Genomic DNA, 12,492 nt, shown 5'->3' with positions numbered 1-12,492 from the left:
TATTTAGTCCATTAATTCATGGGGGAACCAGTAAGATATTACAATTGGTTAAAAGAAAATCTCAAAGAACCTGAAATATAGCTCTCATGGTCTGCTCCAACTGCCATAAGAAAACACCATAGGCTGGTGGCTTCAACAAGGGAAATCTATTTCTCACAGTTCTGGACACTGGAAGTCCAAGATCAAGGTTCAGGTGTCTGATGGGGGCTCACTTCCTGGCTTGTGTGTCCTCTTGCTATGGCCTCACATGCCTTTTCCTCGTTGTGTTATTACCAGTTTTCTGTAACTTCCAGGGCTGTAAAATAGCTCAAAGACCATGAAGCCTGAAAAAAACCCAGAAGAGTATGCTAGACAAGACACCCAATCATCTTTTTGGTCCATTTCAAAGTCTTTCACAATTTTTCCCTATAGAACGCATCAATGAAAACAGCTGTCTGGGATGCCGCTGGGAGTGTCCACTCCCCCATCCACCCCCAATCCCACCTCTCTGGGGTTGCATTTTGTCATGCTTCTTTCATCACTCACTTCCATCAGACAGTGGGTGGTCCCACAGCTTGGGCCTGAGGCCTTTCAACTGCCAACCAACTCCACCCACAGTGATACTGACACCCCAGACTCACACTTACAACTGCCTATGCAGTATCTCCTTTGTCTAGAGTAAAGAAAGAAGGCCGCATTACAATGTCCTAAATGGAGGGGGCCTGTGACTCGGAACAGCCATGCAAGGGCACAGATGGGCTGGGAGGGAGAGCCCTACAGTGCGTGGACTCCCTTGCCACTCACATTGGCATTGGCCCATGAAGATCTTAGCCCAGGAAAGAGCGTGCCTGACACAGTCTTACAGGAAAGGGCATCCCCAGGCTGCCCAGACCTAAGGGCTTCTACACCAGCTAGCTGGGCACCATTGAAAAATTTAAGACCTCACCAGAAACTGCACCTGACAAGGGGCCGAGAGTGTAGGAGGAAGATCACGCATGAGAAGGAGGTTCCCACTGGAAAATCAATGGAAAGCAAACCCTGGGATGTCTAAATGCCAAGAAGAGTCCAGCTAGCTCATTGGAAAATTCAACCTTGACTTCAGATCCCTTGAAAATCCAACATTTGTTCTTAAAAAACAATTTCTGATGTCTTTTTCTGTCTTCCTTTTATGAAGGTCAAGTTCTACCTGCAGAATGGTGTTTGTGATGCAAGTCCACAGTGTTTATCTCTGGAATAACAGTGGGCACGAACTGGCCAAGACCCCCATCAGCCGCTGACAGCCTCACATCTCTAGCCTGCACTAGCAACAGCATCCAACTAGTTCGCTGGCCTCCAGTTTCACCCCTTAACCCATCCCACATGGATGCCAGAGTCAGCTTTCAAGATACATTTAGCCTTATCATTTTCCTACGTAAAGTATTTCATTGGCTTCTGATTGGCTGCCTGTAAGATAAAGGCCCGTGGTGTCCAAGGTGTTCCACAACTGCCCCCTGCTCACCTCCCAGCCTTGTCTTCATCACTCCCTGATCCCTTCTTTGGGCTCTAGCCTCACCAGCTGCTGGGAGTTCTCTGCATGCCCCAGGCCATTTCTCCCACCTTTACTCACACCCTTCTTCTGACCAGCTCCTGTCCCCTCAGAGATTGGTTCAGGGGTCTTCCCAGCACACATGCTCTCTCTCTGCTCCAGCGTGCCTCCGGGAATCACCACATCGCTCCTCTATGTTAACAGGTCTGCTCCTCCTTCCATGAGACAATGGGCTCCTTGAGAGCAAGCATTGTTTCCCATGCTGTTGACTGCTATCCCTGCAAAATGCATGTCCATCTAGAACCTGGGAATGTGACTTTAATTTGGAAATAGTGTCTTTGCAGATATGATCAGGGTTAAGATGAGTTCACACTGGATTAGAGTGGACCCTCACTCCAACGCAACTGGCATCCTTTTAAGAGGGAAATGTGGACTTAGCAGCACACGGGAGAATGTCATGTGAAGACAGAGACAGATTGGAGTGAGGCTCTACAAGCCTAGGCATGCCAGGGACTGCCAGAAGCCATCAGAAGCTGGGAGAGAGGTATGGGACAGATTCTTTTCTCGAACCTCAGAGGGAGCATGACTCTGCCGTCACCTTGATTCTGGGCTTCCAGCCTTCAGAGCTGCGAGAGAAGAAATGTCTGTTGCTTTAAGCCATGCCGTTTGTGGTAATTTGTTACTGCAGCCCTAGGAAATTCACAGGGTTCTCATCGGAGCCCCTAGCCTGGTGCTTGGTAAATGCTTTGAGTGAATTAATGGAAGGTCTTACAATACACTGCCTGCCTCACTCCCTGGCCTCAAATTGTAGCTGAGGAAGGGAAAGAAGACTTGGGGCAAGAGTACTCCCTCTGACCAAGGGAGACGGGCTCAGTCAACACATATTTATTACACACTTAGCAAGTGCAAACAGCTCTACCCCATGTAGTGAATCAGAAATGGCTCCCATCCTGACAGAAATGACCTAACGCCATGGATAACAGTATTAGTCCGTTTTCACACGCTATAAAGAACTGCCTGAGACTGGGTAATTTATAAAGAAAAGAGGCTTAATTGACTCACAGTTCAGTGTGGCTGGGGAGGCCTCAGGAAACTTACAATCATGGTGGAAGGAGAAGGGGAAGCAAGCACCTTCTTCACAAGGCAGCAGGAAGGAGAATGAACACAGATGCAACTACCAAACACTTATAAAACCATCAGATCTCGTGAGAACTCATTGTGAAAACGGCATAGGGGGAGCCGCCCTCATGATCCAATTACCTCCACCTTGTCTCTCCCTTGACATATAAGAGATTATGGGGATTATAGGGATTATAATTCAAGATGATATCTGGGTGGGGATACAAAGCCTAACCATATCAATAGAGCAGCCATTGTCTGTGGAATGGATTTGCCTCTCAGGGGCGTCTGGGTGAGGCTCACCTCAGCATGGGTGACTGGGCAGAGCTGCTGAGGGAGGTGAAGATGTTGAGTTTGCAGAAGAGAGGCTTTTAAGGGGACAAACTCCAAACATGGAACAGACAGGGGACTGAGAGAGATGTGCCCCCTGTGGCTCCAAGACCAATGTTTAGAATTCACAGGAAAACAGATTTAGGCTCAATCTGAGGACGAGTTTTCTAATAGGAGGGAAAGGAAACCAACACTGCTGAGTGCCTGCCCAATGCCAAATAACAGCCCCACGAGGCAGGTGTTACTACCTAGGCCCATTCTGCAGATTGAAAAACTAAAGAGACCTGCCCTAGATTCTATGGCTGAGGGTGGAGCCAGGATTGAAGCCCAGGGCCGCCTGCCTGCAGGTAAACACACCACCCCCATTCCCCAAAGGCCATGTTGAGTATCCCCAGCTGTCCGTGGTGGAATCCAGAGACAGGACAGGCTAGATGGGGGTGATGCAGAAATGCTCCAACTTCCGGGGCAGGACGGTGGGCTAAATAACCTTTAAAATCTCCTCTAAGTTCGAGGGATTCACTGCTCACCTTGGATCACAGGGACAGTGTTACAATCGCTTTCCACCACCTCACTGTCAGCATCACAGGGCCAGAATCCACACGTGCCCTCAGCAGCTGGCCCTGAACGTAGACCAGCTCTCAGGCATGGAGCTTGCCTGCTGCATCATCTTTTTATTTTTTAATTTAATATTTATTTAATTTTTTTTAACCTTTTTGGGAGAGTGTCTCACTATGTTGCCCAGGCTGGTCTCAAACTCCTGGGATCAAGCCATCCTCCCACCTCGGCCTCCCAAAGTGCTGGGATTCCAGGCCTGCGCCACCATGGCCGGCCTGCACCATCCTTTTAGCCCACAGAGAAGAACCTTAAGTGGAGAGTGAGTGGATTTTAGCCAGGCAAGAAGGGACAATAATGTTCTTGGAATGGCATCTACAAAAGGCCAGTTGTGAGAGAAAGCATTTTCTGGACAGAAAAGTGAAAAAGCGTTATCAGTAAAAGGAAGGGAGTAGCAGGAGATAAAGCCAGCAGTAAAGGAAATCAGGTTAGATCTGGAAGAAACTTGCAGGCCAGCTGAAGGGACTGAAATGCATCCTCTATACAAAAGGAAGCCATTGATAACATTCTTGTATACAAAATATATAAAGAAGTCTAATAACTCAGCAGTTAAAAGACAAATCACTGGCCAGGGGCAGTGGCTCACACCTGTAATCCCAGCGCTTTAGGAGGCCCATGCAGGTGGATTGCTTGAGGCCAGGAGTTCGAAACCAGCCTGACCAACATGATGTAACCCTGTCTCTACTAAAAATACAAAAATCAGCCAGGCATGATGCACACCTGTAATCCCAGCTACTTGGGAGGCTGAGGCAGGAGAATCACTTGAACCTGGGAGGTGGAGGTTGCAGTGAGCTGAGATTGCACCATACCCAGCCAAGGGGCTCCCCCTGCCTCCCCAGAAGGGAAGCTGAAGGGTAGCTTGTCCTCAATGGTCTTGGGCATTGGTTTCTGTTCGTGGTGCATCTGCCTCTGCAGTGGACTACCTGTGGGTGGACTAATCTGTAGTCTGTTCTCCAGACATGGCCACCCCGTAAAGTTGTGCAGACTGTACTCTGTACAGAGGGGGCTGCTGAGATGGTGAAAGAAACTGAAATCCAGCCTGTGCTCTTGTCAAAAAGCAAAGGCATCTTATAGAGGCAGCAGCCCTTACCACTCCCCCAGCTCCTCTGACACAGGTCCCACCTCCTAGGCCAAGACTGGGGCAAGGAAACCAAGGCACTCACCGCAGGCACAGAATGTAAGGTATAGCCCCAGAACTCAGCAATTGGGCTGGGTGTGGTGGCTCACACCTGTAATCACAGCACTTTGGGAGGTTGAGCCAGTGAGACTGCTTGAGCCCAGACGTTCAAGACCAGCCTGGGCAACATAGCAAGACTCCATCTCTACAAAAATTTTAAAAAATTAGCCACACATGGTGGCACGTGCCTATACTCCCAGCTACTTGGGAGGCTGAGGCAAGAGGATCGTTTGAGCCCAAGATTTCAAGGCTGCAGTGAGCCATAATCACACCACTGCACTCCAGCCCCAGCAACAGAGCAAACCCCTGTCTCTAAATAAATAAATTAAAAAAATTTTTTTTAAATGAGAACAATATATCAAATTTTAGAGGGCGGATCCAACCCTGCACATGGATGATCCCGTCTCATTCACCTCACTCTAATCTTGGCCCTAGTTCCAATAAAATTTTATTCATAAAACCAGGCAGGCCGGGCACATTGGCTCATGCCTGTAATCCCAGCATTTTGGGAGGCTGAGTTGGGTGGATCACAACACAAGGTCAGGAGTTGTTCACAACACAAGTTGATCACAACACAAGACCAGCCTGGCCAATATGGTGAAACCCTGTCTCCACTAAAAAATACAAAAAGGTGGCAGGCACCTGTAGTCCCAGCTACGGGGGAGGCTGAGGCAGGAGAATCATTTGAACCCAGGATGCAGAGGTTGCGGCGAGCTGAGATCGCACCACTGCACTCCAGCTTGGGCGACAGTGCAAGACTCCATCTCAAAAACAAAAACAAAAACAAAACAAAACAAAACCAGAAAAAAAAAAAACAGGCAACAGCTGGGCACTGTGGCACACGCCTGTAGTCTCAGCTACTCAGGAGGCTGAGGCAGGAGGATTGTTTGAGCCCTGGAATTCGAGACCAGCCTAGGCAACACTGAGACCTTGTCTCAAAAAATAAATAAGTAAATAAATAAATAAATAAAAGAATTAAAAATAAAACTAGGCAGAAATCCCATGAGCCATACTTTGCCAATTTTAAGTATTGCATTTAAATATTATTTATCTTGATTGCTGGGCTGCTCCCTTCCTGCTAGCCCTGACTTGTCCCCCTAGTCCTCATCTCTCAGATTGGAGGCCACTCCAGATTTCCTTGGTACCAGCCACAGGCCAGGAACCTGAAGGGAGTTATGGGGAAGGATCAGCTGCAAGGATCTCAGGGCATCGCACTGCCTAAAGGCACCTTCTGCTCCGCTTGTCTGTTCCCTGCTGGTGCAGGATATTATGAGAGTTCCAGAAGGAAGCAGGGCATAAACTGCCTGGGGCTGAGCAGACGCACCTGTGGTCTCTATCACCCCCTGGAGTTCTGACCTCTAAGTGAAAAGAAAAGGAGGCAGAGGTGGAGACCAGACCCAACAGCTCCTTCCAAACAATGGTTCTGCCTGTCTCCTTGGGCTCCCCAATTTCCCAGGAAGCCTTTCCTGCGTGGGGGGGCAACTACCCTCAGGTCTCTGCTCTGTGGTTAACTATTTTCCTCCATTCATCCATCATTTAGTCACTTATTTAATAATCATTGGTCCCTACTACGTGCCGAGCATTTGCTAGATTCTAAAGATACGGAGAAAACCCCACTACTGTCAGAGCAAACAATAAGACCAATGTACACAAATAATTACAGTAATGTTCTGTATATAAAGTGCAAAAAGAAAACCTGTGTGTGCACAGGTTTAGCTGGGGCATGGAAAAGGATATGATTACTTGTCTCTGGAAGCCTCAGAACAAGGGGGTCTGATTTCTCCAAAGAGACAAGGTGTCAATGGATCTTCCCAGCAGAGAGAAGCGCACGCACAAGAACCTGGATGGAGAAGGAGCAATGGAAACAGAAGTGAGAGAACTGATTGAAAGAGAGGCATTGTTATAGCTGGGTAGCAGGCAATCGACATGAGCTCATCTGAGCGTAGGAATAATCGTGCTACCATTTCTATGAGGTTGTTGAGAATATTAAATGAGTTATCTAACCCTTAGCACAGTACGTAGCACAAGGTAATCACAATGTTAACCACTACTACTCATTAAAGCATTGCATGAGAATAAAAGTTTAGTCACATAGATGGATTTTTGCACGTGGAGAAAGGTTGATTTAATCAACACTTAAACACCTACTACATCTGCAGACACTCTATGGTTAACTTTCAGAAATTCAATGATCAGTCCTGAGTTTAAACTAAGCCTTCTTGGAATTTAAAGCTAAACTGTTTCTCTCTTAAGCTCTAGCTCTTGCAAATCAAAATCGCTTTGCCCATAGACTATTGTATCTGCATCTGCCTCGAGTTAAAAAAAAAATCCATTCAGCAACTCAATTGACTTCTTTGTTCTAGGCTGTAGCCGCCCTCCCCAGAGGCATCGATGTCATTGACTCAGTGGGTGCAGGGCTACCAGGCAATAGGAACACGGAGGTTTACTATTTCAAAAACATTATCCAGCCTCTTATGAAACTGGCAAGATTTAGGGATGAAGCTTAGGTAATGGGGATGAGGGAAGGCTTAGATCCAAGAGGTTTAATTTACAGAAGGGTTTGTTTTTGGGGGGTCTTTCTTATTCCTCCCAGGAGGGAATAAATATCCTGCTAAACTGTTCCACTTGATGGAAAATAGGATGCCATATATTTACTGAGCACCTGCTATGTGCCAGGCTCTATTCTCAAAGGGGTTCCTCAAAAAGATTGGGGCAATTCTGCTTCTATAGATTCCACCTGAGGCATCTATCTCATGGGGGCAGGGGTAGAATTGTCCCAGCTCTTGGAAGGTTAGAGAAAAGTTATTGTGTAGCTTGGAATTTAGAAAACAGAGTTTCTACTTCTTCCAGGATTCCTAGCACTCAGAATCTGCCCTTTGGAAAACTGATTCTGCTATTTGTATTTTCTATTTCTATTTTCTAGCTTTTAACAGATACAGTTATATTTGAAAATACCAGCCTGTCTTTGGCAGCGCTAAAAGAACTAAAGAAAGGATTTAATTTCAGCATGAGCTGAAGTTAAAAGGGAAAAACTGTCCCTTACCTCTGGGGAGGCTGGTCCCCAAGGGATGTGAGACCCTTGAGACAGAGAAGTCTTGGCTACTGGGGAGGCCTTGAGAGATGGAGAAAGTAGGTTGGGTTTCTGGCTTCCCTGGTTTCTGAAAAAAAAAAAAAGTTCAGGAAATGTCACCCCAAAATATTCAGCTCTTCAGCTCTGGTATGCTGATTACCTCAAACTGAGAGCACTTGGGGTACAGTAAATGAGGTCAGGGGCTCTCTCTCTCTCTCTGAACTCCCTGTAACTGCCTAAAGACAGGTCCTCCAAAAAGAAGCCAATTGTCGTGAGTCCCTCCCCAGGAATCCATCAACCAGAGAAGACTGGCTCCTATCACAGGAGAGAGAGGAAACTGGGGGTCTAGGGGGCACCCACCCAGGCAGACTTAGACTGTCGCTTATTCTCTTAAGGGCCCATTCATTTTTCCAAACCTTGTATACTCTCCCCTAACTTGCCTGCATCCCCCTTCTCCCTCCTCTATGAAGAATGCATCTCAGCTTCTAGATCTCGCTGGGTTTGGGGTATGCAGTTTTCCTCCATGTGACGCTCCTGTACACACAAAAAACACATCTATCTTTTCTCCTGTTAATCTGCCTGCTGTCAGTTTATTTCATAGACTCAATTATGGAAGTCTCAGAGGGAGAGGGAGGGGTTTCCCTCCCTGATACGGGCTCCTGCGTGGATCAGCTGTTGTTCCCTTCCTTCCTTGGGGTATCTATCCCCAAGAGCCCCAACACCTTGCCCTTGCAATGTCTCCCTTGTCACTTGAGCCAGTCTGGGAAGCTTTCTTTCTATTTCTTGCAAGTCACCATCCCAGTGTGTTTCTTTTTTATTTTTATTTTTTAAATTACTTTATTTTGGAGTGGGGGACACGGTCTTGCTCTCTTGCCCAGGCTGGAGTGCAGTGGTACCATCACAGCTCACTGCAGCCTGGTTCTCCTGAGCTCAAGCGATCCTCCCTCTTCAGCCTCCTGAGTGGCTGAGACTACAAGTGCACACCACCACCCCTCGCTAAGTTTTGTTTTTTTGTTTTTTGTTTTTTGTTTGTGGTAGAGATGCGGGGTCTCACTATGTTGCACAGGCTGGTCTCAAACTTCTGGCCTCAGGCAATCCTCCTGACTGGCTGGAAGCTCCAGATGCTCTGGGTCTTCCTCACCACAGACCTCTTCTTCTACTTACTGTGTGCCCAGCACTGGAGATAAAAATAAATAAATAAAGATCCTGCCCCCGCCGCCTGAGGAGCCCCTGGCTGATGAGGTAAATGGGCTGGGCTGGGCGAGCCTTTCAGGGGATGCCAGCAAGAGCCCCAATTCTGGAATTGCCTCCTCCAAGGCACTGAACTAGGCCCCGTTAAAATTAACTCCACCAATTAAAGGCATCGTTAGGAGACAATGCTGCCTGTCTTCTTCTTTATTTTTAATTACAGAGCCTAGCCTAAAGTTGTCAAACCATTTATAAATTAGAGCAGAGTTCCTAAGCAGAAGGCCAAGGAACAGGGAAGGGGAAGAAGGGATGGAGACAGGGGTTCTTGGTCTGCCTCCCCAGGCCTCTCTGGCCTGGTCCGGGCTCATCTACCTCTGGACAGTTGTGACAGGCCACTGCCCCACTAATGGATGGGCTGTCTAGGGAAGCACTCGCTGTCCCTCCCTCACCTCTCCGCGCACACCCCGATTATAGTCATTAGGGAATCACCCTGAGCGACGGGAAGACAAGCGGGTGGTACGTCGGCAGCCCGGGAGGCCAGAGGTGGCTGGGGGGTGCCGCAGGACTGGCTCAGGCTGGAGAGCAGAGCCTGGAGAAAGCGCAGAGGCTGAGCTCCTCTCCTGCCCTCTCCCTGTGGGGAGGCATCCTTTGCTCCAGTCAAACAGCCCATGGCTGGCACAGCAAGAACAGTGGGAGGGTGACAGTGAGAGGCTCTAGACAAAATGGATGCCTCTCAGTCCGGCCTCCAGGCCCCCGCCAGCTTCAGGGCACTCTGTAACCACGGCCAGCTCCTGCACATCTTCCCATAGGATGGTTGGAAAGAAGGCTTGAGAGGGAAGAGGCTAAAGAAAATTCTTGTCCCTACCGGGCAGAGGTCAGACATGCAGCAGCCTCTAAACTTGGTGGGAGAGAGCAGGGCCCAGGCTCCTGGGCTCCCACCTCCAGCCTCTGCTCCCACCCAGAGGGATAGGGCTCTGCCTCTCCTGGTCCAGGGCGTAGACCAGGGAGTGGCCCAGCCCCCAGTGTCTCCCTGGGCCACAGGTGGGGAGCACAGGGAGGTCAAGCAAGCGGTGAACTGCCCAGCACCATTGCCTCCTCTTACCACATGCCACCTCTTTCTAGCCAGGACCAGCTTCTAAAGCTTCCCCCATCCCTGCCTTCCCATTTCCAAGGTGGGACTAAATTGCTGTTCCATTCCACCCCAGGCTGCAGTGGCCAGTGACAATGCTAAATGCATCCTGAGCCCTGTGCCCGATGGTCAAGAAACTCCCCACCCTTTTGTGTTCTAGGAAAAGGCTCACTGCCAAGAAGCCCCCTTCCCCAAGATTCCTTCCTTAGGTGTGAGAAGGCCAGGCACAGACACTCCTAAGTCCCATCCTTTGTCTCATAACTGATGAGCCAAACCAGCAGCCAATCTAGACAAAATGCCGCCAGCTTGACCCGACCACACTTGAGTCAGGCATCTCTGCCCTGAACTTTGCCCCACCCTCAGCCTGAGCCAGCATAGGAACTCAGGACACCCTTCTCAACGCCCCCTCTCAGGATGCAGGGGCAAACATTCCTGCATCAACTGCCAGCCAGGCCACCTGCTGGCCCCACTCCCCGCACCTGGCTCCTTTTAGCCTTATTTATTAAAAATAATAGACCAAGAAGCAGCTTCTCCGCTCCTTCTGGAATCTCCACCTGGTTCAGCCCACCTGCCTCCACTCCTGCCTCCACCATGTCCATCAGGGTGACTCAGAAGTCCTACAAGGTGTCCACCTCTGAACCCCGGGCCTTCAGCAGCCACTTCTACACCAGTGGGCCCAGTGCCCGCATCAGCTCCTCGAGCTTCTCCTGAGTGGGCAGCAGCAGCTTCCGGGGTGGCCTGGGCAGAGGCTATGGTGGGGCCAGCGGCATAGGAGGCATCACCACTGTCACGGTCAACCAGAGCCTGCTGAGCCCCCTTAACCTGGAGGTGGACCCCAATATCCAGGCTGTGCGCACCCAGGAGAAGGAGCAGATCAAGACCCTCAACAACAAGTTTGCCTCCTTCACAGACAAGATACGGTTCCTAGAGCAGCAGAACAAGATGCTGGAGACCAAGTGGAGCCTCCTGCAGCAGCAGAAGATGGCTCAGAGCAACATGGACAACATGTTCGGGAGCTACATCAACAACCTTACGCAGCAGCTGGAGACTCTGGGCCAGGAGAAGCTGAAGCTGGAGGTGGAGCTTGGCAACATGCAGGGGCTGGTGGAGGACTTCAAGAACAAGTATGAGGATGAGATCCATAAGCTTACAGAGATGGAGAATGAATTTGTCCTCATCAAGAAGGAGGTGGACGAAGCTTACATGAACAAGGTAGAGCTGGGGTCTCGCCTGGAAGGACTGACTGATGAGATCAACTTCCTCAGGCAGCTGTATGAAGAGGAGATCCGGGAGCTGCAGTGCCAGATCTCAGACACATCTGCGGTGCTGTCCATGGACAACAGCCCTCCCTGGACATGGACAGCATCATCGCTGAGGTCAAGGTGCAGTACGAGGAGATCACCAACCACAGCCAGGCTGAGGCTGAGAGCATGTACCAGATCAAGTATGAGGAACTGCAGACGCTGGTTGGGAAGCACGGGAATGACCTGCGGCGCACAAAGACTGAGATCTCCGAGATGAACCGGAACATCAGCCGACTCCAGGCTGAGGCTGAGGGTCTCAAGGGCCAGAGGACTTCCCTGGAGGCCGCCATAGCAGATGCCCAGCAGCGTGGGGAGCTGGCCGTTAAGGATGCCAACGCCGAGCTGTCGGAGCTGGAGGCCGCCCAGGAGCGGGCCAAGCAGGACATGGCGCGGCCGCTGCGTGAGTACCAGGAGCTGATGAACGTGAAGCTGGCCCTGGACATCCAGATCGCCACCTACAGGAAGCTGCTGGAGGGCGACGAGAGCCGGCTGGAGTCTGGGATGCTGAACATGAGCATCCATACGAAGACCACCAGCAGCTATGCAGGTGGTCTGAGCTAAGCCTTTGGGGGCCTCACAAGCCCCGGCCTCAGCTACAGCCTGGGCTCCAGCTTTGGCTCTGGGGCGGGCTCCAGCTCCTTCAGCAGCACCGGCTCCACCAGGGCTGTGGTTGTGAAGAAGATCAAGACCCGCGATGGGAAGCTGGAGTCCTCTGATGTCCTGCCCAAGTGAACAGCCACGGCAGCCCCTCCCAGCCTGCCCCTCCTGCGGCTGCCCCAGAGCCCACGAGGGAGGCTGCTGTGCTGGGGAGCACAGGGAACAGGAGACCCACCTGAGGCTCAGCCCTAGCCCTCAGCCCACCCGTTGGGGAGTTTACTGCCTGGGGACCCCCGTTGCCCATGCCTCCAGCTACAAAGCAATTCAATTGTTTTTTTTCTTTTTGGTCCAAAATAACCTCAGCTAGCTCCGCCAAAGAGTAATGTAATAATAATAATAATAATAGGCTGGGTGCAGTGGCTCATGCTTGTAATCCCAAAACTTTGGGAGGCCAAAGCAAGC

At 50.1% G+C, this 12,492-nt stretch overlaps 1 pseudogene, besides 1 other annotated feature; it reads left to right on the top strand.

Annotated features, from left to right (window-relative positions):
* Positions 372–895: an enhancer, noted in NCBI's record as "NANOG hESC enhancer chr11:119484842-119485365 (GRCh37/hg19 assembly coordinates)". NCBI's record gives its function as "activates a minimal SCP1, AML or CMV promoter by ChIP-STARR-seq in primed H9 embryonic stem cells {active_cell/tissue: H9 hESC(primed)}" and the evidence as "EXISTENCE:reporter gene assay evidence [ECO:0000049][PMID:30033119]".
* KRT8P7 (keratin 8 pseudogene 7) lies at positions 10,645–12,406 on the top strand (annotated as a pseudogene).

The sequence above is a fragment of the Homo sapiens genome, chromosome 11, assembly GCF_000001405.40.
Source record: "Homo sapiens chromosome 11, GRCh38.p14 Primary Assembly".
Classification (NCBI taxonomy): Eukaryota; Metazoa; Chordata; class Mammalia; order Primates; family Hominidae; genus Homo; species Homo sapiens.
The sequence above is the reverse complement of the archived record's forward strand: the minus strand, read 5'-3'. Positions and strand labels throughout refer to the sequence as shown.